The 24,474-nt window shown below is 39.3% G+C and overlaps 1 long non-coding RNA gene across 1 annotated transcript in view; it reads left to right on the top strand.

The window, feature by feature from the left end:
* The window catches only part of LINC01277 (long intergenic non-protein coding RNA 1277), a 71,162-nt gene extending 48,788 nt beyond the window's left edge, over positions 1-22,374 (top strand). Inside the window, exon 3 of the long non-coding RNA NR_038987.1 lies at positions 21,354-22,374. This is a non-coding gene — a long non-coding RNA (long intergenic non-protein coding RNA 1277). The remainder of the gene's footprint in view (positions 1-21,353) is intronic.
* The last annotated feature ends 2,100 nt before the right edge of the window (positions 22,375-24,474 follow it).

Raw genomic sequence — 24,474 nt, 5'->3', positions numbered from 1 at the left:
GGAGTTTGAGACCAGCCTGGCCAACATAGTGAAATCTCGTCTCTACTAAAAATACAAAAATTAGCTGGGCGTAGTGGCAGGTGCCAAAACTAAACCAGCTGGGCGTAGTGGCGGGTGCTACTCGGGAGGCTGAGGCAGGAGAATTGCTTATACCAGAGAGGTGGAGGTTGCGGTGAGCCGAGATTTTGCCACTGCACTCCAGCCTGGGCAACAGAGGGGGACTATACCTCAAAAAACAAACAAACAAACAAACAAAACTTTGAAAAAGAGTGAGAATAAAAAAGAGGCATGGAATCCTGGGAACCCCAATCTTTAAGGGCCAATGAAAGAATGCATCAACAGCATAATATAAGGACTAAAATGATGCCTTAAAATATGAAAATTGGGAATTAATTGGTAATCAGTCTGTGAATTATTTTAGTAAGTATGGTGGAGGTAGAAAATAGATTCTACATGTGAAGAAAGTTGAGACAATTTTTTCAAGATCTGTCACACAGGTAATTTTTTTCCACCTGAGCAGGTTGGTAGCCCTATCTTTATTTTTGCTTCTTAGAATACAATGTACATTTTTCATTCCATTCATGGGTATGTGCTCAGATTAAGGGAATATGTGATTCTGTGCTCCTAGAACATTCTGATCTTCCTGGTTCTTGGGGCTTAAAGGATACAAATGAAAAATAGCAAATAAGCCATAAATGCAATTTATTTCTACCAACAAATTGTATGTAAGCTTATATAAAACAATTAAAAAGAAGACATCACAATAATTTGTGAATATTGCCCTGGAAAGAATCACTGCAACTTCACATATTCAGCAAAAATAATAAAATTTAAACACAATACTCATTCTTCTCAAGACTCTGAGTCCTCTAAAGAGCAACAATTAATCAAAGACCAAGGAACTTGATCTGTAGATATTTTTAGCATCTGCACTTGTTAATGGACACTTCAGGATTTAATCAGGTCCCAGTAACACCTGTATTCTTTCTATGTTCCAAAACTAGAAAGATGACAAGTGCCTAATGCAGTTTAAATTGTGTTTGTCTGTGAATAAGGAAGAAGTAGTGCCTCATAAAGGGTGTGTGCATGCACACATGAATGACAAACTTTATTTCCTCATGAGTTCATGCCAATCAGCAGGACTCTGCAAGCCATTTGCATGCTCCATAAACAAAGCTGCATCCTTGGTGTCAAATCCAAGATGGCAGCCAGAAGTGATTGCTAATTCCTAAGCAATGATTCTTCTCAAGAAATAATTGTAGAACCTCTAGAGAGTGGCCCTAACCAAAGGGGAGAAAACTTATGAGTTGAAACAAAGAAAAGTCTGTTGCCCATAGGTATTACCACTCAGTAGCCTAGGACTCCTTTTACATTCCATGGGATTTCACTAATTGTAGATGAATATTGACTTACATGCTTAAAATGCAAAATCCCAGAAAGAAAAAAAAAAGCGGTTATTTACACGTTAGGATTGCTTAGTTGGTTTGCCTGTTTATACTGTGCTGAGACCAGCAAGCTTAAACGAATGTGAGTTTGATTGAAAGAGAAGCTGGGGGAGAAAAATGGTAATCATTCGGAAACTGGAGACCCTTTAGAGAAGGCAGACAAAAGTAGTCAGCTGAGCTGGAAGACATCAGATTCCTAGGGAGTGGAGCTGTGGGGTGGGAGTGGGATCTCCATCAGCATAAGGAAAGGGTTAGGAGAAAGAAGACAGTGAGAGCCAAGAAACTGAGGTGAAATGGTGGATAGCAAAGACAAATTTTATTTCCATCCTATTGCCACTTGATTCTCCTTGTAGATGGCTGATGAAAGGCTTTTCCTAGCTAGCGGCAATTTGGCTGGCAGCTGCCAGGGCTGGGCTGGAGTGCACTGAGGGTGGGGCAGGGGAGGGATTAATCCCACCCAAAGATGCTGGGAGGAAGTGAAAATGAAAAAAATGAGAAAGGGTCTAATTATAATGTCTCAACTTAATTAAGAAACCATGGTAGTAGAGAGATGAATTATCATGCTACTGCCATGGAAATCACATCCAATGTCTTCAGCTACTAAAGAGGACTTTTTTTCAGACCCAATTTCTCCATTTGGCCAAACTTAAATTAAAACTCTGTGTGTGTGAGTGTGTGTGTATGTGTCTGCAGACATATATAATAACATATATATAATTGTAGTCTAATTGACCCCAATTAGCATGACTTGGATGTTGTGTTTATCACTGAATCACTCTTTGTAATCAGGCAGACATGAGATTTGATTGGTCAGGTCTAAACCTAAAACTCTGTGTGTGTGTGTATGTGTCTGTAGACATATATATAACTGTAGTCAGTAATACAATTTAATTGTACAATTACTTTTACTTTATGGCAACTAGATTTTAATTTGTTACAGGTTTTTTTGTAACTGTAGTTGTGTAATTCTTGGATTTTGACTATACTTTTCATAATTTGCATGAAGGGGAGGGCTAAAATTGATGCTCAATTGTCTATAATATCTTACATCCACAAGAATTTACAGTGCTTTTTTTAAAAAGAATAAGTAAACAATAAAAGAACATTTAACCTTTCAATCTTCACACATCCTCATGAGGGAAGCATTAGTATTTCCATTTACAGCTGAAGAAACTGAGGCTCAGAGATAAATGATTATGTTTCCTAATCCTCACTACAGTGTTAACATCTGGGCCAAACATCTGGGCAGCAACATCAGAAAGCCCCTCTGCTGTGCTTCAGGATCACTCTTATCACTGCATAAAGGTGAGAACGGCTTCCTTCTACACCCAGTCTGTTACTCTGGTTGGGCTATTTATTCATATGAGCTATTGTCAACGGTGCATCAAGAGGAGGCAGGCAATTACTGTTGTACCAACTATTAATAGTAGATAATCTTATTAAGAATGATACAGAGTTTCATTAAAATGACAACCACTTACTTTTAAAAGAATAAAGTAGAACATCAGATTCCTAACGACTTGGCTGTTTACATGTCTTTGTGGTACCTAAGTCTGAGTCTAAGCAACTTTATCTTCACATTTGATTTAAAGGAGGAAATCCTTCTCACTCCCTTACAGCTCTCTGTTTTATTCTAAAGACAAAAGTCAAATGAAGTAGAGATTATGACTAAAGAGGATAGATAAAAATGGAAAAACTGTATGTCAGACGTGAATTTTTAAGAAGAGCTATGATATTCTTACATTGTTATTCCTCTTATGCTTCCCAGGGTATGCTACATTTTTGCAGAAAGTCAGGAGGTTTAGAAACCACACAGAGAAACATTGCTTGGAAAGGGGAACTCTTCAATCGTCTAAGATTACAGATCTTGGAATTGGAATGGTATGCAGTTGAGTTTTCCATTCACAGTTCCAGGAAAAAATGGGATTTTTTTCCCATTAAGAATACTGTTATTTAGTTATTTTGAAGTATACAGTACATACATGCTTTTTTATAAAACCACTGGATTTCATAAGTAGCACACATTTGAGTATTTCAAAATCTCTCTACTGCTTTTAAATCAGATCTGGGGCTTGACTATAGAAAAAAATTTCATTTCAAGTACAGAACAGAAGCTGAATTATCTATCATATGGCTCATAAAGTACTTAAATTTTGCTATTTATTTCTTGAGAATGACTCAGCCATTCATATTTATTATACTAAAATGCTACACAACTACTGCCAATAAATATTGGAAAAGCTGAACAATCCAGACACAATGTGGTAATTATTCTATCCTGACAAAACTTTTCATAAGTCTTGAGAAAAAAGGAGCATTGCTTTGAAACTGAAAAATAATCTTAACTAAGTAAAATATAATTAAAGCACTGCAGTTTAAGTCAATTTTCCTTTCTGTTTTGCCCAACTACATTTGAAGTAAACTACATATATAGTAAGTTACTTAAACTATCTAAACCCAGTTTATTTTCCTATAAACTACAGAAAATAGAAACAACCCAACCAACCAAAAGCTTAGGACTCTTTCAGCTGCTAATGAAAGATACCCAAATCGAAATGGCAAAAGGAAAGAAAAAGAATGCGTTGACTCCTGTAGATGAAAGTCCAGGAGTACCTTGGCATCACTGTGGTTGGATCCTGGCTCAAACAATGTCATTAGAACTGAGTCACTCTCTATGCCTTGGCCCTGTTTTCTCTGTTAGACCCAAGTCTCTGGTAGGCTCTCCTCATGGGGCAAGACGGCCTCCAATAACTCCAGGCTTATATCCAACTGGCTTCAGAAAGAGGTCTGTTTCTCAACTGTTACAATGGTAGTCCAATAATTGATTGGCAATGACCCCAATTAGCATGACTTGGATGTTGTGTTTATCTCTGAATCACTCTTTGTAATCAGGCAGATGTGAGAGTTGATTGGTCAGGTCTAGTTCATATGCCTATCCCGTAATTTGGGTGGAGAGCCAGCCCCAGCCAAACAGTGGGAATTTGAGAGTAGGTGAGGAATAGTAGCTCCCCATAGAAAATCTAGGTGCTATTATGACAAAGAGAATATATTAGGTATAAAATATTATACATATAATATGTAGTCATGATAATCAAATAAGATAAAATATGTAAGATATCATGACTATAAGGGATTATTTTGTGTTATGCCAGATGTTAATTAAAATATATCTAAAAAGAGTTTATGTTTTCAATAATGCCATTAGGCATTTTATAACTTGAAACATCTGAGTTAAACATCTCTTAGGGATCTCCATTTCATTTTGCCAAGTTCTCCTCTGTAGTCATGGTGGCTAACTCTCATGGTGCTGACTGCAGAAGAAAAGACCACAAAGTATTATCTTCAGCAAAATAGTTCAAATTCTTCTAAAAGAATTAAGCAAACTTGTGACAAGCAAATAACAAAGCACTTTAAATGAGTTGAAGATAGTGGTGTGATCTTATTTTGCAATTATGCAGTATGTCATTCTTAGAACAAATCTGCATGGAAGCAGGCATTTTGACATTTGAATTGCACATTTGTTATTTGAGCACTTACCTGAAAACTGGCTTTCTTGATTTTCAAGTGTTCTAGATACTGGTTAAATGGTCACCAGCCCTAGTTCCTATTCCTGGGCACACATAAGGTCTGGATGAATCAGCCCCTTTGCATTGGATTGAGACCAGGTGACTCTGTTGGGTAGATGGAGTATGGCAGAGGTGATGTAAGCCACTTCTAGATCTGGCAGTTCTTCAGTCCTATTGTCCAGTGTGACACCCTTGCAAACCACACCTCAAAGATTCATAAGATTGTAGGAACTGGAGGCTCCAAGATGGCTGAATAGGAATAGCTCCAGTCTACAGCTCCCAGTGTGAGCGATGCAGAAGATGGGTGATTTCTGCATTTCCAACTGAGGTAATGGGTTCATCTCACTGGGGCTTGTCAGACGTGGGTGCAGGACAGTGGGTGCAGCCCATGGACCATGAGCCGAAGCAGGGCGAGGCATCACTTCACCTGGGAAGTGCAAGGGGTCAGGGAATTCCCTTTGCTAACCAAGGGAAGCCGTGAGAGAAGGCTCCTAGAAAATTGGTTCACTCCAACCATAATACTGCGCTTTTCCAATGGTCTAGCAAATAGCATGCCAGGAGATTATATCCCACGCCTGGCTCAGAGGGTCCCACGCCCACAGAGCCTTGCTCACAGCTAGCACAGCAGTCTGAGATCCATTTACAAGGTGGCAGCGAGGCTGGGGAAGGGGCACCCGCCATTGCTGAGGCTTTAATAGGTAAACAAAGCAGCCAGGAAGCTCGAACTGGGTGGAGCCCACCACCTCAGCACAAGGAGGCCTGCCTGCCTCTGTAGACTCCATCTCTGGGGGCAGGGTGTAGCTGAACAAAAGGCAGCAGAAAGTTCTGCAGACTTAAATGTCCCTGTCTGACAGCTTTGAAGAGAGTAGTGGGTGTCCCAGCATGGAGTTTGAGATCTGAGAACGGACAGACTGCCTCCTCAAATGGGTCCCTGACCCCTGAGTAGTCTAACTGGGAGGCACCTCCCAGTAGGGGCCAACTGACACCTCATACGGCCTGGTGCCCCTCTGAGACGAAGCTTCCAGAGGAATGATCAGGCAGCAACATTTGCCGTTCTGCAATATTTGCGGTCCTGCAGCCTCCGCTGGTGATACCAAGGCAAACAGGGTCTGGAGTGGACCTCCAGCAAACTCCAACAGACCTGCAGCTGAGGGTCCTGACTGTTAGAAGGAAAACTAACAAACAGAAATGGCATCCACACCAAAACTCCATCTGTACGTCACCATCATCAAAGACCAAAGGTAGATAAAACCACAAAGGTGGGGAGAAACCAGAGCAGAAAAGCTGAAAATTCTAAAACTCAGAGCTCCTCTTCTCCCTTAAAGGAAAGCAGCTCCTCACCAGCCACGGAACAAAGCTAGACAGAGAATGACTTTGATGAGTTGAGAGAAGAAGGCTTCAGGCAATCAGTAATAACAAACTTCTCTGAGCTAAAGGAGGATGTTCAAACCCATAACAAAGAAGGTAAAAACCTTGAAAACAGATTAGACGAATGGCTAACTAGAATAACCAGCATAGAGAAGACCTTAAATGACCTGATGGAGCTGAAAACCATGGCATGAGAACTGCGTGACACATGCACAAGCTTCAGTAGCTGATTCGATCAATTGGAAGAAAGGGTATCAGTGATGGAAGATCAAATAAATGAAGTGAGAAGAGAAGTTTAGAGAAAAAAAGAGTAAAAAGAAATGAACAAAGCCTCCAAGAAATATGGGACTATGTGAAAAGACCAAATCTACGTCTCACTGGTGTACCTGAAAGTGACGGGGATAATAGAACCAAGCTGGAAAACACTCTTCAGGATATTATCCAGGAGAACTTCCCCAACCTAGCAAGAGAGGCCAACATTCAAATTCAGGAAATACAGAGAATGCCGCAAAGATACTCCTGGAGAAGAGCAACTCCAAGACACATAATTGTCAAATTCGCCAAAGTTGAAATGAAGGAAAAAATGTTAAGGGCAGCCAGAGAGAAAGGTCAGATTACCTACAAAGGGAAACCCATCAGACTAACAGCAGATCTCTCAGCAGAAACTCTACAAGCCAGTAGAGTGTGGGGGCCAATATTCAACATTCTTAAAGAAAAGAATTTTCAACCCAGAATTTCATACCCAGCCAAACTAAGCTTCATAAGTGAAGGAGAAATAAAATCCTTTACAGACAAGCAAATGCTGAGAGATTTTGTCACCACCAGGCCTGCCTTACAAGAGCTCCTGAAGGAAGGACTAAACATGGAAAGGGTACCAGCCACTGCAAAAACATGCCAAATTGTAAAGACCATCGATGCTAGGAAGAAACTGCATCAACTAATGAGCAAAATAACCAGCTAACATCATAATGACAGGATCAAATTCACACATAACAATATTAACTTAAATGTACATGGGCTAAATGCTCCAATTAAAAGACACAGACTGGCAAATTGGATAAAGAGTCAAGACCCATCAGTGTGCTGTATTCAGGAGACCCATCTCACGTGCAGAGACACACATAGTCTCAAAATAAAGGGATAGAGGAAGACCTACCAAGCAAATGGAAAACAAAAAAAAAGCAGGGGTTGCAATCCTACTCGCTGATAAAACAGACTTTAAACCAACAAAGATGAAATGAGACAACGAAGGCCGTGACATAATGGTAAAGGGATCAATTCAACAAGAAGAGCTAACTATCCTAAATATATATGCACACAATACAGGAGCATCCAGATTCATAAAGCAAGTCCTTAGAGACCTACAAAGAGACTTAGACTCCCACACAATAATAATGGGAGACTTTAACACCCCACTGTCCACATTAGACAGATCCACAAGACAGAAAGTTAACAAGGATATCCAGGAATTGAACTCAGCTCTGCACTAAGCAATCCTAATAGACATCTACAGAACTCTCCACCCCAAATCAACAGAATATACATTCTTCTCAGCACCACATCACACTTATTCCAAAATTGACCACATAGTTGGAAGTAAAGCACTCCTCAGCAAATGTAAAAGAACAGAAATTATAACAAACTATAATTTTATAAATTTATATATATAAATTTATAATTATAATAAACTATAACAGACCACAGTGCAATCAAACTAGGACTCAGGGTAAGAAACTCACTCAAAACCACTCAACTATATGGAAACTGAACAAGCTGCTCCTGAATGACTACTGGATACATAACAAAATGAAGGCAGAAAGAAAGATGTTCTTTCAAACCAATGAGAACAAAGACACAATATACCAGAATCTCTGGGACACATTTAAAGCAGTGTGTATAGGGAAATTTATAGCATTAAATGCCCACAAGAGAAAGCAGGAAAGATCTAAAATTGACACGCTAACATCACAATTAAAAGAACTAGAGAAGCAAGAGCAAACACATTGAAAAGCTAGCAGAAGGCAAGAAATAACTAAGATCAGAGCAGAACTGAAGGAGATAGAGACAAAAAAGCCCTTCAAAAAATCAATGAATCCAGGAGCTGGTTTTTTGAAAAGATCAACAAAATTGATAGACCGCTAGCAAGACTTATAAAGAAGAAAAGAGAGAAGAATCAAATATGCTCAATAAAAAATGATAAACGGGATATCACCACCAATCCCACAGAGATACAAACTACCATCAGAGAATATTATAAACACCTCTATGCAAATAAACTAGAAAATCTAGAAGAAATGGATAAATTCCTGGACACATACACCCTCCCAAGACTAAACCAGGAAGAAATTGAATCCCTGAATTGACCAATAACAGGCTCTGAAGTTGAGGCAATAATTAAGAGCCTACCAACCAAAAAAAGTTCAGGATCAGATGGATTCACAGCCGAAATCTACCAGAGGTAAAAAGAGGAGCTGGTACCATTCCTTCTGAAACTATCCCAATCAATAGAAAAAGAGGGAATCCTCCCTAATTCATTTTAGGAGGCTAGCATCATCCTGATATCAAAGCCTGGTAGAGACACAACAAAAAAAGAGAATTTTCGGTCAATATCCTTGATGAACATTGATGCAAAAATCCTCAATAAAATACTGGCAAACCAAATCCAGCAGCACATCAAAAACCTTATCCACCAGGATCAAGTTGGCTTCATCCCTGGGATGCAAGGCTGGTTCAACATATGCAAATCAATAAACGTAATCCATCACATAAACAGAACCAACAACAAAACCCACATGATTATCTCAACAGATGCAGAAAAGGCCTTTGACAAAATTAAACAGCACTTCATGCTAAAAACTCTCAATATACTAGGTATTGATAGAATGTATCTCAAAATAATAAGAGCTATTTATGGCAAACCCACAGCCAATATCATACTGAATGGGCAAAAATTGGAAGAATTCCCTTTGAAAACCAGCACAAGGATGCCCTCTCTCACCACTCCTATTCAACATAGAAATGCAAATCAAAACCACAATGAGATACCATCTCTCATCAGTTAGAATGGCGATCATTAAAAAGTCAGGAAACAACAGGTGCTGGAGAGGATGTGGAGAAATAGGAACGCTTGATCACTATTTTAACTGGCTTGAGATGGTATCTCATTGTGGTTTTGATTTGCATTTCTTTAATGACCATTGATGATGAGCTTTTTTTCATACATTTGTTGGCCACATAAATGTCTTCTTTTGACAAGTGTCTGTTCATATCCTTCACCCAGTTTTTGATGGGGTTGTTTTTTTTTATTGTAAAATGGTGAAGTTCTTTGTAGATTCTGGATATTAGCACTTTGTCAGATGGATAGATTGCAAAAAATTTCTCCCATTCTGTAGGTTGCCTGTTCACTCTGATGATAGTTTCTTTTGCTGTGCAGAAGCTCTTTAGTTTAATTAGATCCCATTTGTCAATTTTGGCTTCTGTTGCCATTGCTTTTGGTGTTTTAGTTATGAAGTTTTTACCCATGACTATGTCCTGAATGGTGTTGCCTAGGTTTTCTAGGGTTTTTGTGGTTTCAGGTTTTACATTTAAGTCTTTAATCTATCTCATGTTAATTTTTGTGTAAGGTGTAAGGAAGGGTTCCAGTTTCAGTTTTCTGCATATGGCTAGCCAGTTTTCCCAACACCATTTATTAAATAGGGAATCCTTTCCCCATTGCTTGTTTTTGTCAGGTTTGTCTCTTTGTAGCAATTGTGAATGGAAGTTCACTCAAGATTTGGCTCTCTATTTGTCTGTTACTGGTATGTAGGAATGCTTGTGATTTTTGCATATTGATTTTGTTTCCTGAGACTTTGCTGAAGTTGCTTATCAGCTTAAGGAGATTCTGGGCTGAGACGATGGGGTTTTCTAAATAAATGATCATGTCATCAGCAAACACAGACAATTTGACTTCCTCTCTTTCTATTTGAATATGCTTTCTTTCTTTCCTTTGCCTGGTTGCCCTGGCCAGAACTTCCAATACTATGTTAAATAGGAGTGGTGAGAGAGGGTATCCTTGTCTTGTGGCGATTTTCAAAGGGAATGCTTACAGCTTTTGCCCATTCATTATGATATTGGCTATGGGTTTGTCATAACTAGCTCTTATTACTTTGAGATACATTCCATCAATATCTAGTTTATTGAGAGTTTTTAGTATCAAGCGGTGTTGAATTTTATTGGATGCCTTTTCTGCATCTACTGAGATAATCATGTGGTTTTTGTCATTGGTTCTCTTTATGCGATGGATTACGTTTATTGATTTGTGTATGTTGAACAAGCCTTGCATCCCAGGGATGTGGCCGACTTGATCTTGGTGGATAAGCTTTTTGATGTACTGCTGGATTTGGTTTGCCAGTATTTTATTGAGGATTTTCCGGTTTATGTTCTTCAGGGATATTGGCCTGAAATTTTCTTTTTTTGTTGCGTCTCTGCCAGGTTTTGGTATCAGGAGGATGCTGGCCTCATAAAATGAGTTAGGAAGGAGTGCCTCTTTTTCTATTGTTTGGAAGAGTTACAGAAGGAATGGTACCAGCTCCTCTTTGTAACTCTGGTAGCTTTCGGCTGTGAATCCATCTGGTCCTGGGCTTTTTTAGGTTGGTAGGCTGTTAATCACTGCCTCAATTTCAGAACTTGTTATTGGTCTATTCAGGGATTAGACTTCTTCCTGGTTTAGTCTTGGGAGGGTGTGTGTCTCCAGGAATTTATCCATTTCTTCTAGATTTTCTAGTTTATTTGCATAGAGGTGTTTATAGTATTCTCTGATGGTAGTTTGTATTTCTGTGGGATCTGTGGTGATATCCCCTTTATCACTTTTTATTGTGTCTATTTGATTCTTCTCTTTTCTTCTTTGTTAGTCTTGCTAGCGGTCTATCAATTTTGTTAATCCTTTCACAAAACCAGCTCCTGGATTCGTTGATTTTTTGAAGGGTTTTTCGTGCCACTATCTCCTTCAGTTCTGCTCTGATCTTAGTTATTTCTTGTCTTCTGCTAGCTTTTGAATTTGTTTGCTCTTGCTTCTCTAGTTCTTTTAATTGTGATGTTAGGGTGTTCATTTTGGATCTTTCCGGCTTTCTCCTGTGGGCATTTAGTGCTATAAATTTCCCTCTAAACACTACTTTATCTGTGTGCCAGAGATTCTGGTATGCGTGTCTTCGTTATCATTGGTTTTAAGGAACTTATTTATTTCTGCCTTGATTTCTTTATTTACCCACTAGTCATTCAGGAGCAGGTTGTTCAGTTTCCATGTAGCTGTGCAATTTTGAGTGAGTTTCTTCATCCTGAGTTCTAATTTGATTTTGCTGTGGTCTGAGAGACTGTTATTATTTCCATTCTTTTGCATTTGCTGAGGAGTGTTTTACTTCCAATTATGTGATCAGTTTTAGAATAGGTCTCTAATTTTGGAGTTATAACCTGTTGAATACAATGAGCAAGTCTAGAACAAAATAAAATTTCTCTAATAATAGCATTGCTTCATATCTTGACACATCTACATAGAGTATGCTAATTGACAAGAGCAGCAATTGATTCAATGTCCCTTAGACCGTCAAGGAAGCTCTCCTCATCTTTTCCAACCTCAGGGAAAAAATAATAAAAAAAAATTAACAAGTTTTACTTCATTTTTTCATTTTTACTTACATTGCACAATTACTATGTGCCTAGTTTGTGCCAAAAGCTTACTAGCTGCCTACAGGCCCTTAAGCACAGTATATCCAAATTAAATCCAATATCTTTCCCTATACATTTCACAAACTTCCACTTCAATTCTATATCCCGTTGAAAGACAACACTCACCCAACTTCACCAGCCGAAAACCTAGGAATCAGCCTTAATTTCTATTTCTCTGTAAGTTGATCCTGTGGACCTTACTCTTATTACCTTCATTCTACTCCAAATCATCTGCATCTCCTACCCAAGGATTACTGAAATAGACTCATTACTTGTTCTCCTTCTTCCAGTCCTGTCCCTTAACCAACATTCACTTTGGAGCTACATTAATCTTTCTAAAATGCAAGCCTGATTATGTCAGCCTCACTCTTAATCATCCAGTATCTCCTTGTTACTCTAAGGATAGTCCAAGCTCTACAGTATAACTTACAAGACCTTGTATGATCTGGGCCTTGCTTCCCTCTCTAGCTTATCTTTTGCTGTTGCTCCCAACACATACACTCAAACCAATCATTACCATGAAAAATCCATATGTGTCTGATCCAGTCAAGATGCCATTTTGCTAAATTCATAGGTACTAGAACTTTGAAAGCAAGTTATATCTGCCCATTTGGTGCTCCCCAGTTCTATCCCTCTGCTAGGCTTTTAAACATTTATGGAGCCTGGAGAAAAAGGCCCATGTACTATATATTTAAATATTTAAAAGTTATCAATCTAGCTAAGACTGTTAAATAAAATGTATTCTATCCTTCCATCTCACTAAATATATTCATACCAACATGTAAGGCCAGGCTGGAATTTTGAATTCTTAGGTTTCTAGCTACATTGGAGCGTGGCAGTAGTGTGAGGAGAGATGGTCTTAGGCAGCCTGTCCTTTGAGCACACGCATGGATACTCGGCCCAAAGATCAGTCCACATACTGGTAAATAGCACCCCTTGGCCACTCCATAGGCCTCAGAGCACAAAGACATCATGATCTGCACTTGGAAGAATAGACTTAGGCCAGAGGTCCACGGAGTCACTGAGAGAGGCCCTCACTGTAGGGACAGGGAAGTCCTGGCTTCCGGGTATTCAGAGCATGATCTATAAGAGGGCGCTGTAGGCTTTGAGTGTGAACATCCCTTTTGTGCTACAGACTCCTTGCCTTAAGGGGAGAGGCATAGTTAGAAGATGACCAGATTTGGGCCTGTAGAGAAGAGTCCAGAGGTCCTCTTGCCTGGATCTAAGGGCAGTGTTTCTTCCTGTTTGTCTCCACCTGAGGTAACCACTACCCTGAATCATGCTGATCATTTCCTTCCTTTTTTATTTACATAGTTCTATTTCATATCTATATAGTCTAGAAGTATTGCTTTTAGTTTTAGTGTTTCAAAGTTTATAAAAATGTTTTCTGTATGTATCTTTGGGAATTTATTTTATACATCTGTCTATCTAGATATCATCAATTTATTTATTTATTTTTTACACTCAATATTGTTAATATTCATTCATATTGTGATGTGAAGCTGAAGGTCATTCATTTTGAATGCTATATAATATTTCATCATTTGATGGTCACCAGTTATTTTATACATTCTGCTGACAACAGGCATGTAGGTTGTTCCTAGGTCTTTGCTATTTTTAAAATAATATTGCTATAAAGATCTTCATCTGATCCCTGGTGCACACGTGCAAGAGTTCCTCTTTGGTGCTTATGTAGGAGTGAATTGCTGGGTCTTAGCTCTGGTTGGATCTCACAAGTTCTGATATGTAATGTTGTCATTATCATTCACTTTAAAATTTCCATTAGGATTTCTTTACCTCATGAGTCATTTAAAGAGCATGTTCCTTATGAACTTTAAAGTAGTTTTTTCCGGCCGGGCGCGGTGGCTCACGCCTGTAATCCCAGCACTTTGGGAGGCCGAGGCGGGCGGATCACGAGGTCAGGAGATCGAGACCATCCCGGCTAAAACGGTGAAACCCCGTCTCTACTAAAAATACAAAAAATTAGCCGGGCGTAGTGGCGGGCGCCTGTAGTCCCAGCTACTTGGGAGGCTGAGGCGGGAGAATGGCGTGAACCCGGGAGGCGGAGCTTGCAGTGAGCCGAGATCCCGCCACTGCACTCCAGCCTGGGCGACAGAGCGAGACTCCGTCTCAAAAAAAAAAAAAAAGTAGTTTTTTCCAATTCTGTGAAGAAAGTCATTGGTAGCTTGATGGGGATGGCATTGAATCTATAAATTACCTTGGGCAGTATGGCCATTTTCACGATATTGAGATGAGTTCATGTCCTTTGTACGGACATGGATGAAGCTAGAAACCATCATTCTCAGCAAACTATCGCAAGGATAAAAAACCAAACACCGCATGTTCTCACTCATAGGTGGGAATTGAACAATGAGAAGACATGGACACAGGAAGGGGAACATCACACACCGGGGCCTGTTGTGGGGTGGGGGGAGGGGGAGGGATAGCATTAGGGGATATACCTAATGTTAAATGACGAGTTAATGGGTGCAGCACACCAACATGGCACATGTATACATATGTAATAAACCTGCACGTTGTGCACATGTACCCTAAAACTTAAAGTATAATAATAAAAAAGAGCATGTTTTTAAGTTTTAAATAAGTGGGCAATTCATATTTTTCTTATTTTTTCTTATTATCTATTAACTTAATTGAGTTGATGTCAGAAAATGTGGTCTATATTATATATATTTTAAGATATTTTTGAGGCTTATATTTTGTCTAAATACATGATCAATATTTGTAAGTGTTCTATGTGTGCTTGAGAATAATGCAGTTTACATTATCTAATTGTTGGGTGCAGAATTCCATCTATGTTCGTTAGGTCAAGTTTTTAAATTGTGTTGTTGAGATCTTCTATGTTCTTGCTTAGAATCAATGGATTAACACTTCAAACAATGAGGGAAATTTAATGAAATTTCTCACTATTTGGTGGAGCTTTGTTTACTCCCTTTATATATTTTGAGGCTATTAGGTGCATGGTGTTTAGAATATTTATACTTTATTGATGTGTATAGATAGATAAATAGAGATCTTCTCTGACTCTAATCGTGTTTTTGTCTTAAAATCCATTTGATCCGACAGTAATACAGCCACACAAGCTTTCTTTTGGCTACCATTTTTCTAATTTTTGCCATTCTATTATTTTTAACACAGATTGCATTGTTATTCCCAGTTTGTTGTCTCTTCTCGGTACCTTATGAACCCTTGTTATGTGACTTGCCTTAGCCAACAGAATATTGGTGGGATGATACAGTTAGTGGCTTTAAACATGCTTGAAAGGTTGGACAAATTCTCTTGTATTCCTGACTTTTGCCATGATAAGACCCTGCCTTGGGTAGCCACTGGTCCAAGGAAGGTAAGAAATATTTGGAACAGACTAAGGCTGAACCTATATTTTAGAGCAAACCCCAGGTGGGCAAAATCAGCTGTACCCAAGCTGATCCACAGATGCATGAGTAGGAAACTGTTATTGCATGAGACTGAGATTATGCAGCTGCTACACAGCCAAAGCTGGCTGACATAACATATCCTATGCTTTAGTATGTCTCTTATAAAAGCCACATATCTGGAATTTTTTTTATTTCAATAGCTTTTGGGGTACAGGTGGTTTTGGTTACTCAAATAAGTTCTATAGTAGTATATTCTGAGATTTTAGTGCACCCATCACCCTAACGGTGTACACTGTATCCAATATGCAGTCTCTTATCTCTCACCTTCCTCCCAACCTCCCCACCACAAGTTCCCATAGTCCTTTATATCACTCTATATGTTTTTGCATTCTCATAGCTTAGCTCCCACTTATAAGTGAGAACATAGGGTATTTGGTTTTCTATTTCTGAGTTACTTCACTTAGAATAATGGCCTCCAGCTCCATCCGAGTTGTTGCAAAAGACATTATTTCATTCCTTTTTATGGCTGAGTAGTATTCCAAGGTGTAAATATACCACATTTTCTTTATCCACTCATTGGTCAATGAGCACTTAGGTGGGTTAGTTCCATATCTTTGCAATTGCGAATTGTGCTGCCATAAACATGTGTATGCATATATCATTTACATATAATAACTTTTTTCCTTTGGGTAGATACCCACTAGTGGGATTGCTGGATTGAATGGTAGATTGACTTTTAGTTCTTCAAGGAATCCCCATACTGTTTTCCGTAGTAGTTGTACTAATTTACATTCCACCAGCAGTGTGAAAGTGTTCCCTTTTTACCACACTCATGCCAACATCTATTGTTTCTTGACTTTTTAATTATGGCCATTCTTGCAGGAGTAAAGTGGCATCTCACTGTGGTTTTGATTTGCATTTCCCTGATGATTAGTGATGTTGAGCATTTTTTCATATGTTTGTTGGCGGTTTGTATATCTTCTTTAAAATTTAATCAGAAAGTTTGATGAGTTTAATTCATTTAGATTTATTGAAATTGTTGATATTTTTATATATTTATATTCACCAAAAGATTTCACTAAGGTAATTAATTACTATTTTAGTTTGGATTCCCCCTTAAGCAAACTCTGAAATAAGGATTTGGTTACAAGTTATGCATTTGGGAGGTGATCACAGGAGTAGAGGAACTGAGAAAATGAAACTAGAAAAAAAAAGGAAACCTAAAAAATCAAATAATAAAATAAAATAAGTATTCGGGCCACCACTCCAGGTGAATGCAACTTGCTATGGATCATCCTTTCTAATGGGGATATGAAAGGCATTGGTCAGATCAATATCTGCATATTAAGTGTCAGAGGCTGTATTAATCTGTTTTAGGAAGATGCCACATATATATAGCATGGCAGTTGTGGCTGAGGCCTCCCTTGGTTACATTCACAGTAGTCCACTATAATCCACCATGTTCCACCTCCATTCTCTTTTTTTTTAATAGAAGCCATAATGATGAGTTAAATAGGGACATGATGGAAAACATTACCTGTGCATCCTGTAAGTCTCTGAGAGTATTGTTAATGACTGCCTGCTGCCTAATTTGTGGTATTCCTTCCAATTTGCTGTCTTGGCTGGTTGGAGAGAAAGCAGTAGTTTCATGTGCTTCCACTTAGCTTTTCCTACTAGTATATCACTTATCTCACAAGTCAGAAACCAAAAGGGGGCTTCTGCAAGCACTTAAGTCTGTCCATCTTGGTGAGACACTCAGAGACTGGGATAACATGAACAGGTTGAGTCTGTGAACCCACTGTGAGATGGATTTGGTCCAGGATTCCATTTATTGCCTGTCTTCTGTTTTGTCCACAATGTAACTGGGGAGCTATGAGAGTACCTTGAGTCTTCTGGTATTAGAAGGAGTTCAGGTTCATTATTTCATTGTAGAGTTTCATTCCTAGGTTCTCCCTTCTAGAACCATTCCTGGTACCAACAATCTTGGATCAGGTACCAAAAGCAGACCCTGAGATAAGAATTTGAGTTCAAATGGTTCTACGCAGCCCAGTGAGTGATATAGTTTGGCTGTGTCCCCACCTAAATCTCAACTTGAATTGTATCTCCTAGAATTCCCATGTGTTGTGGGAGGGACCCACGAGGATGTAACTGAATCATGGGGGCTGGTCTTTCCCATTCTACTCTCAGGATAGTGATTAAGTCTCATGAAATCTAATGGGTCAATCAGGGGTTTCCACTTTTGCTTCTTCCTCATTTTTCTCTTGCTGTCACCATGTAAGAAGAGCCTTTCGCCTCCTGCCATGATTCTGAGGCCTCCCCAGCCATGTGGAACTGTAAGTCCAATTAAACCTCTTTTTGTTCCCAGTTTTGGGTATGTCTTTATCAGCCACGTGAAAATGAAATAATAGATAAATAGGTAGTGGAGAGGTGAGAAAATCAAGGTAGATATGTAAATAAAAGATATGTTAATATGTTAATGAGTGGGCAATTGAAGCTTGGTTTTGCTAGAAACCTCGGAGACCCTAAGTCACACCTCAGAATAGCTCCAAAGGGACAAGAAAGTTTAGATATTTGTTTTCCAACTCACGCCTCTTAGTGGTTGAGAGTTGTTCCTGGGGGTATTCATTCCTAGGCACTTCTGGCCTGCCAGCATTTGGATTGCGCATGTGTCTACAGGCCGAGAACAACCTCAGTCAGAGAGGGGCAGCTACATAAAGTAGCAAGTCATTGGAGTGTATGGGATTTGTTCAACAAAGCTACAGGCAGAAATTGACAAACTGACTCTAAAATTAGTATGGAAATACAAAGGACATAAAATGCCTGCAACAGCTTTGAAAAAGAAAAAAATAGAGAACTAATATTTTCTGATGTCAAGATTTACAGTAATCAGAATACTGCAGTACTGGCATCAAGACACACAAATCTGTGGAACAGAACAGAGAGTCCAGATACAAAAATAATGACAACTGATCTTTGACAAAGGGGCAAATGCAGTTTAATGGAGGAAGGATAGTGTTTTCAATAAGTGATATTAGAATCATTGGATGCCCATATGCCAAAAAAGAAAATAAACTTGAAACCGTATCTTGTGCCTTATTAAAGAAATTAACTCAAAATGGATTATTGACCTAAATGTAAAACCTAAAACAATCACACCTCTAGAAGAAAATATAAGCAGAAATGTTTGTGACCTTTGATTAGGCAAAGATTTCTGTGTGTGCGTGTGTGTGTGTGTGTGTGTGATGGAGTCTTGCTCTGTCACCCTGGCTGGAGTGCAGTGGTGCAATCTCGGCTCACTGCAACTGCCACCTCTTGGGTTCAAGCGATTCTTCTGCCTCAGCCTCCCCAGTAGCTGGGATTACAGGCATGCACCTTCACGCCTGGCTAATTTTTGTATTTTTAGTAGAGATGGGGTTTCACCATATTGGCCAGGCTGGTCTCGAACCCCTGACCTCGTGATCCACCTGCCCGGCAGAGATTTCTTATATGATACCAAAAGTATTATCCATAAGAGAAAAAAATGGGCCAGGCATGGTGGCCACTCCTGTAATCCCAGCACTTTAGGAGGCTGAGGTGGGCAGATCACCTGAGATCAGGAGTTCGAAACTAGCCTGGCCAACATGGTGAAACTCTGTCTCTACCAAAAATGGAAAAATTAGCTGGGTGTGGTGGAGGGCACCTATAATCCCAGCTACTCAGGAGGCTGATGCAGGAGAATTGCTTGAACCTGGGAGGTGGAGGTTGCAGTGGGCCGAGATCATGCCATTGCACTCAGTCTGGGCAGCAAGAGCAAAACTCCATCTCAAAAAAAAGAAGAAAAAAAAAAAAAGAAAAGAAATGGATATACTGAACTTCATAAAAATGTAAAACTTCTCTTTATTTATCTTTTTTTGTTTTTTTTTGTTTTTGAGACAGAGTCTCGCACTCTTGCCCAGGCTGGAGTACAGTGGCATGATCTTGGCTCATTGCAACCTCCGCTTCCCAGGTTCAAGTGATTCTCCTTGCTTCAGCCTCCCAAGTAGCTGGGATTATGGGCACCCACCACCATACCTGGCTAATTTTTTTGTATTTTTAGTAAAGATGGGGTTTCACTATGTTGCCCAGGCTGGTCTCAGACTCCAGACCTCATGATCCACCTGCCTCAGCCTCCCAAAGTGCTGGGATTACAGGTGTGAGCCATCATGCCTGGCCTTAAAACTTCTCTTCAAAAGAGAATGAAAGACAAATCATAGACTAGAAAAAATATTTATAATTTACATATCTGATAAAGAATTTCTACCCAAAATATATAAAGAGTTCTCAAAACTCAACGATAAGAAACCCTCAATTTTTGAAAATGGGCAAAAAATCTCAACAGACACTTCATCAAAGAAGTGTGTGGATGTCAAATAAGCATATGAAAAGATGATAAACATCATCAGTCATTAGAAAAATGCAAGTTAAAACTACAGTGTGATTCTACTACATACCTATTACAGTGGCTAAAATTAAAGGACTGACTATAGCAAGTGCAGACAAGGATGTGGTGGAACAGGAACCCTCTTAAACTGCTGATAAGAATATTTGGAAAACATATTGGCAATTTTTTAAAAAGTTAAAGATATCCTGACCACATGATCCAGTCATTTAACTCTTACATATTTTCCCAAGAGAAATAAAAGCATATATTCCTTCAAAGACCTGCACATAAATGTTCATAATAGCTTTATTTACAATAATCAAATAGAATACAAGCAGCAATAAGAGTGTTCTGTTGATACGTGCAACAGTACAATAATTTTTATCTCCATTGAAACTGTTTTATAGCTTGCTAATATTCCACATTTCCTAATGTATAGATAGAGTCAAATCACAATGAAGTGGGCATCATTTTGTAATGCTTATATAGTCTAGAATGGGGCTGGCAAACTTTTAATGTAAAGGGCCAGATGATCAGTATGTTAGGTTTGCAAGCCAGATGGTCTTAGTCGCAACTATTCAACTCTGACTTTTAGCACAAATGCAGCCATAGACAATAGACAAATGCATTGGTGTGGCAGTGTTCCAGCAAAATGTTATTTACAAAAACCAGCAGTAGGTGGATTTGGCCTACAGAACGTAGTTTGCTCACCTCTAGTTCAGACCATTAGAACTAGTGTCAGTCTTTCAATATTTCCCATTTTTGTTTTGTTTTTTTTCGAGACAGGGTCTTTCCCTGTCACTCAGAGTGCAGTGCAGTAGTGCAGTTATGGCTCACTACAACCTTGGCCTGGTGGGCTCAAGTGATCCTCTCACCTCAACTTCTTGAGTAGCTGGGACTACAGGCACATATCACCATGTCTGCCTAATTTTTTTTGGTATTTTTCTGTAGAGACAAGTTTCTGCCATGTTGCCCAGGCTGGTCTCAGACTCCTGGGCTCAAACAATCTGCCCACTTCAGCTTCTCAAAGTGCTAGGATTATAAGTGTGAGGCACCATGCCAAGCCCATTTCCTTGATTTGATGTGTTTGGATCTGGGTCCTATTGGCCATTTGCCTAACATACTGATCCTGGATATTAGGGAAGATATCAATGGACCCAGCTATCTCTGTGATGCCAAGAAGCTTAGGTATTTAGAGTTATCTGGGGAATTTTACAGTGTCAGGGGACAGGTTCTTTATCTCACAATATGCTAAAAGCCCATGAGAAGTGTGATGGATTAAATATGACCGTAAATTATTTGTCATCTCTCCTTCCGTGCACACCACCTGATGGAAAGGTAGAGTTTGTTTTTGCTCCTTTTGAATCTGGGCTGGCCCTGTGACTGCTTTAACCAATATAATGTGATAGAAGGGATGTTATTCCAGTTCTGAGTCTAAACCTGAAGAAAGTGTCAGAAGTTTCTGATTTTGTACTTTCAGGTACCCTGAGCCACTATCTAAATTGTCTGCTTACCTTATGAAGACACCATAAGGAGGTATAACGTGTGGTGAGCACAGGTGAAGAGCTAGAGGCCTGAAACTAGATGGGGAGGGAGAAGCCAGCCATGCCTGCATCCAGGGCTGCACTCAGCCTCCCAGCATCTGTGCAGAGGCATCAGTCAAGCCACAGCTAACTGCAGTCCCAGCTAACATTATGTGGAACATCCCAGTCATCCCAGATCATCCCAGTCAACCAAGATCATAAAATTGTTTTCAGCTATTAAGTTTAAATATGTGAAATAAGGAGATAAAAATACTGACTTGGACTCTGTCTGAATGAAAGGATTAGTAGATTAGATTAGTGATTCTTAAAAGACTTTCTTGGATGCATATAAGTGTCCACAAAATAAGAGTATGATGGTTTCCAGGTACAAATAAGATGGAAAACTATTTTGTGAATCAGAATTAAATTGGTTTATTTACTGTAGAACTTCTAAGAGGCTTTAACATGTACATTTAATTATCATAAGCCTTATGAAAACTCCAGGAGGACAGAAGAGTTGCCTGTGACTTTTTTTAAAGTGTTTATTCACATCCCAAGGAAGGATTCCCAGAAGAGATGATGCCTAAGCAGTGTCCCAACCATGAAATAAAGTCTCCTAGCTACTGGACAAGATCATCTCGAAGCTTATTTCCAGCTCCAAATGTTATTATTTTCCTCAAACCCATTATAAAATGGCCTCTCTTAGCACTATGAGATCTGTAATACAAGAAGTAGAACAAACACATGAAGTTCCTGTTGGAAATTCAAACTTCTCATACAGCCTTCACTGAGTTCTACTCATTATGGATAAAGGCTTCTGCTTTGAGTCACCTAAGTACTTTTGACCCCCAACTTAATCAATGCCTTGAAGTGAAAATACAGTGTCAGGCAGTCCCTATTCATGACACAAACAAACCAACCAACTCATATCATGACTTAATGGTGTGAGACCTCAGTAAAAACTTTATATGAACTAAATTTGTCTCATTTGTATCTTCTCATACCTGTCACAGAATTTCCTCTGTCCAATGACACTGGTCCTTCGATAGTCTTAGCTGTCTTTTCCTTCTTAAACTAACAAAAATAAAAGTGAAAGAAACAACATTATCCAATCTCATCTGTTTGTTGGGACATATTGTAATTGCTCTACTTGGAATCTCAGCACCAAAATTCTTGAATTATCTGTCTATACTGTTTGCATTTCTCCCCTTCTCTTTTCATTTACACCATAATCTACTGCAATTTGGCCCCTTCTCTCATTCTCTCTTAATTATCTTCAAAACTGGAAACTTTCCTCAAGTATTTGTATTGAATCCCAAACTTTCAGTTCTTACCTGTATACAATGTGACTGAAAGTAAGGGGAGTTCCCATATCCATACCTCTTGTCCTCCTCCTGCCCGTAAGCCCAATATTTGAACTCCAGACCTATACAACTAACAACCTATTTCTACCTGAATATCATAAAGTATAAATAAACTTCACCCAATGCCAACAACATCAAACCTGCTCAACTATTTATTCATGGATTCAATTGATACTTGTCAGGCACCTATTCTGGGTCAAGAACTTTGCTAGGCAATAGATCATAACAGTGAACAGGATTCCACCCATAGGGAGCTTATAGTCTAGCAGTGGAGATAGACAAATAGACTAGCAGTTATAGAGAAAAACCTGAGTTTCTATGGGAGCACAGAGAAGAGACACTTAATTCAACCTTGACAGTGATGATGGGGGTTTGGGGAGGGTGGTATGAAAGGCCTCCCAGAGATGAAAATGATTAAATCCAGTCTTTAAGATTAGACAGGGCAGGTAAAGGATGAGAGCAGAGCAGCCAGTCAGAGGAAGTACCTAGTAGGGAGACTCATAGGGAAGAGACTGCATCACATACTCAGGGAGCAGCAAGTCATTCTGCCTAGCTGACCCAAAGAATGATGCCTGGTGAGGAGCCATGGATGATCAATACCATGGATGATCAATACAGGTGGAAGAAGGCTTCCTTTAAGGAACCCTAATTCTTGGGCCACTTCAGTATTGTGCAACAATTACATGTCTTGTTTTTGTGTTTTTCTTATAGAGGGAGTACGTAAAATACATATGCCATGTTTCTAATAAAGTTAAACATATATCTACTCTATTACTGAACAATTGTATTCTCAGATAGGTAGCCAAGAGAAATGAAAACACATGTCCATGCAAAGACTTGTATAAGAACATTCAAAGCATCCTTATTAATAACAGCCCCAGCTGGAAAGAACCTAAATGTCCATCGATAGGAGAATGAATAAACAAATAATGGTATATTTATATAGTGAAATAACACTTCATAATAAGACAGAACAAACTGTCCATACATGCAACAATGTGGTTGATTCTCAAAATCATGCTGAGCAAAATAAGACACAAAAGATTACATACTGAGTGATTCCACTGATGTGAAGTCTGAGAGTAGGCGAAATGTATTATGGTGACAGAATTAGAAAAGGGTTGCTCTGGGGGTGAGGATGGATGAGGAAGGGGGTACGGATGAGAAAGGGAACTTTCTGGATGCTGGAAATGCCCTCTATTTGTTTTGTCTTTTTGAGACAGAGTCTCGCTCTGTCGCCCAGGCTGGAGTGCAGTGGTGCTATCTCGGCTCACTGCAGCCTCCGCCTCCCAGGTTCAAGCGATTCTCCTGCCTCAGCCTCCCAAGTAGCTGGGACTACAGGCACGTGCCACCACGCCTGGCTAATTTTTGTATTCTTTAGCAGAGACGGGGTTTCACCATGTTGGTCATGCTGGTCTTGAACTCCTGATCTCATGATCCACCTGCCTTGGCTTCCCAAAGTGCTGGGATTACAGGAGTGAGTCAATGCGCCTGGCCTATTCAAAACTCATTGAGCTGAACACTATGATATGTACATTTTATTGAATGGTAATTTTACCTCAACTTTTAAAATGCCAACAAGAGTATTTCTTTTAAGAGTCTAAAGGTAACAACATGGTTTGGTTTGCCCACACTAAAGCTTCTCAAGTCTTAAAACATTGTACAGTGCAATTTAATGACCCTGAAATATATTTTTAAAGTCATGGAAGAGTAA

The sequence above is a fragment of the Homo sapiens genome, chromosome 6 (assembly GCF_000001405.40).
Source record: "Homo sapiens chromosome 6, GRCh38.p14 Primary Assembly".
NCBI lineage: Eukaryota > Metazoa > Chordata > Mammalia > Primates > Hominidae > Homo > Homo sapiens.
This window is presented reverse-complemented; position numbering and strand designations above follow the sequence as displayed.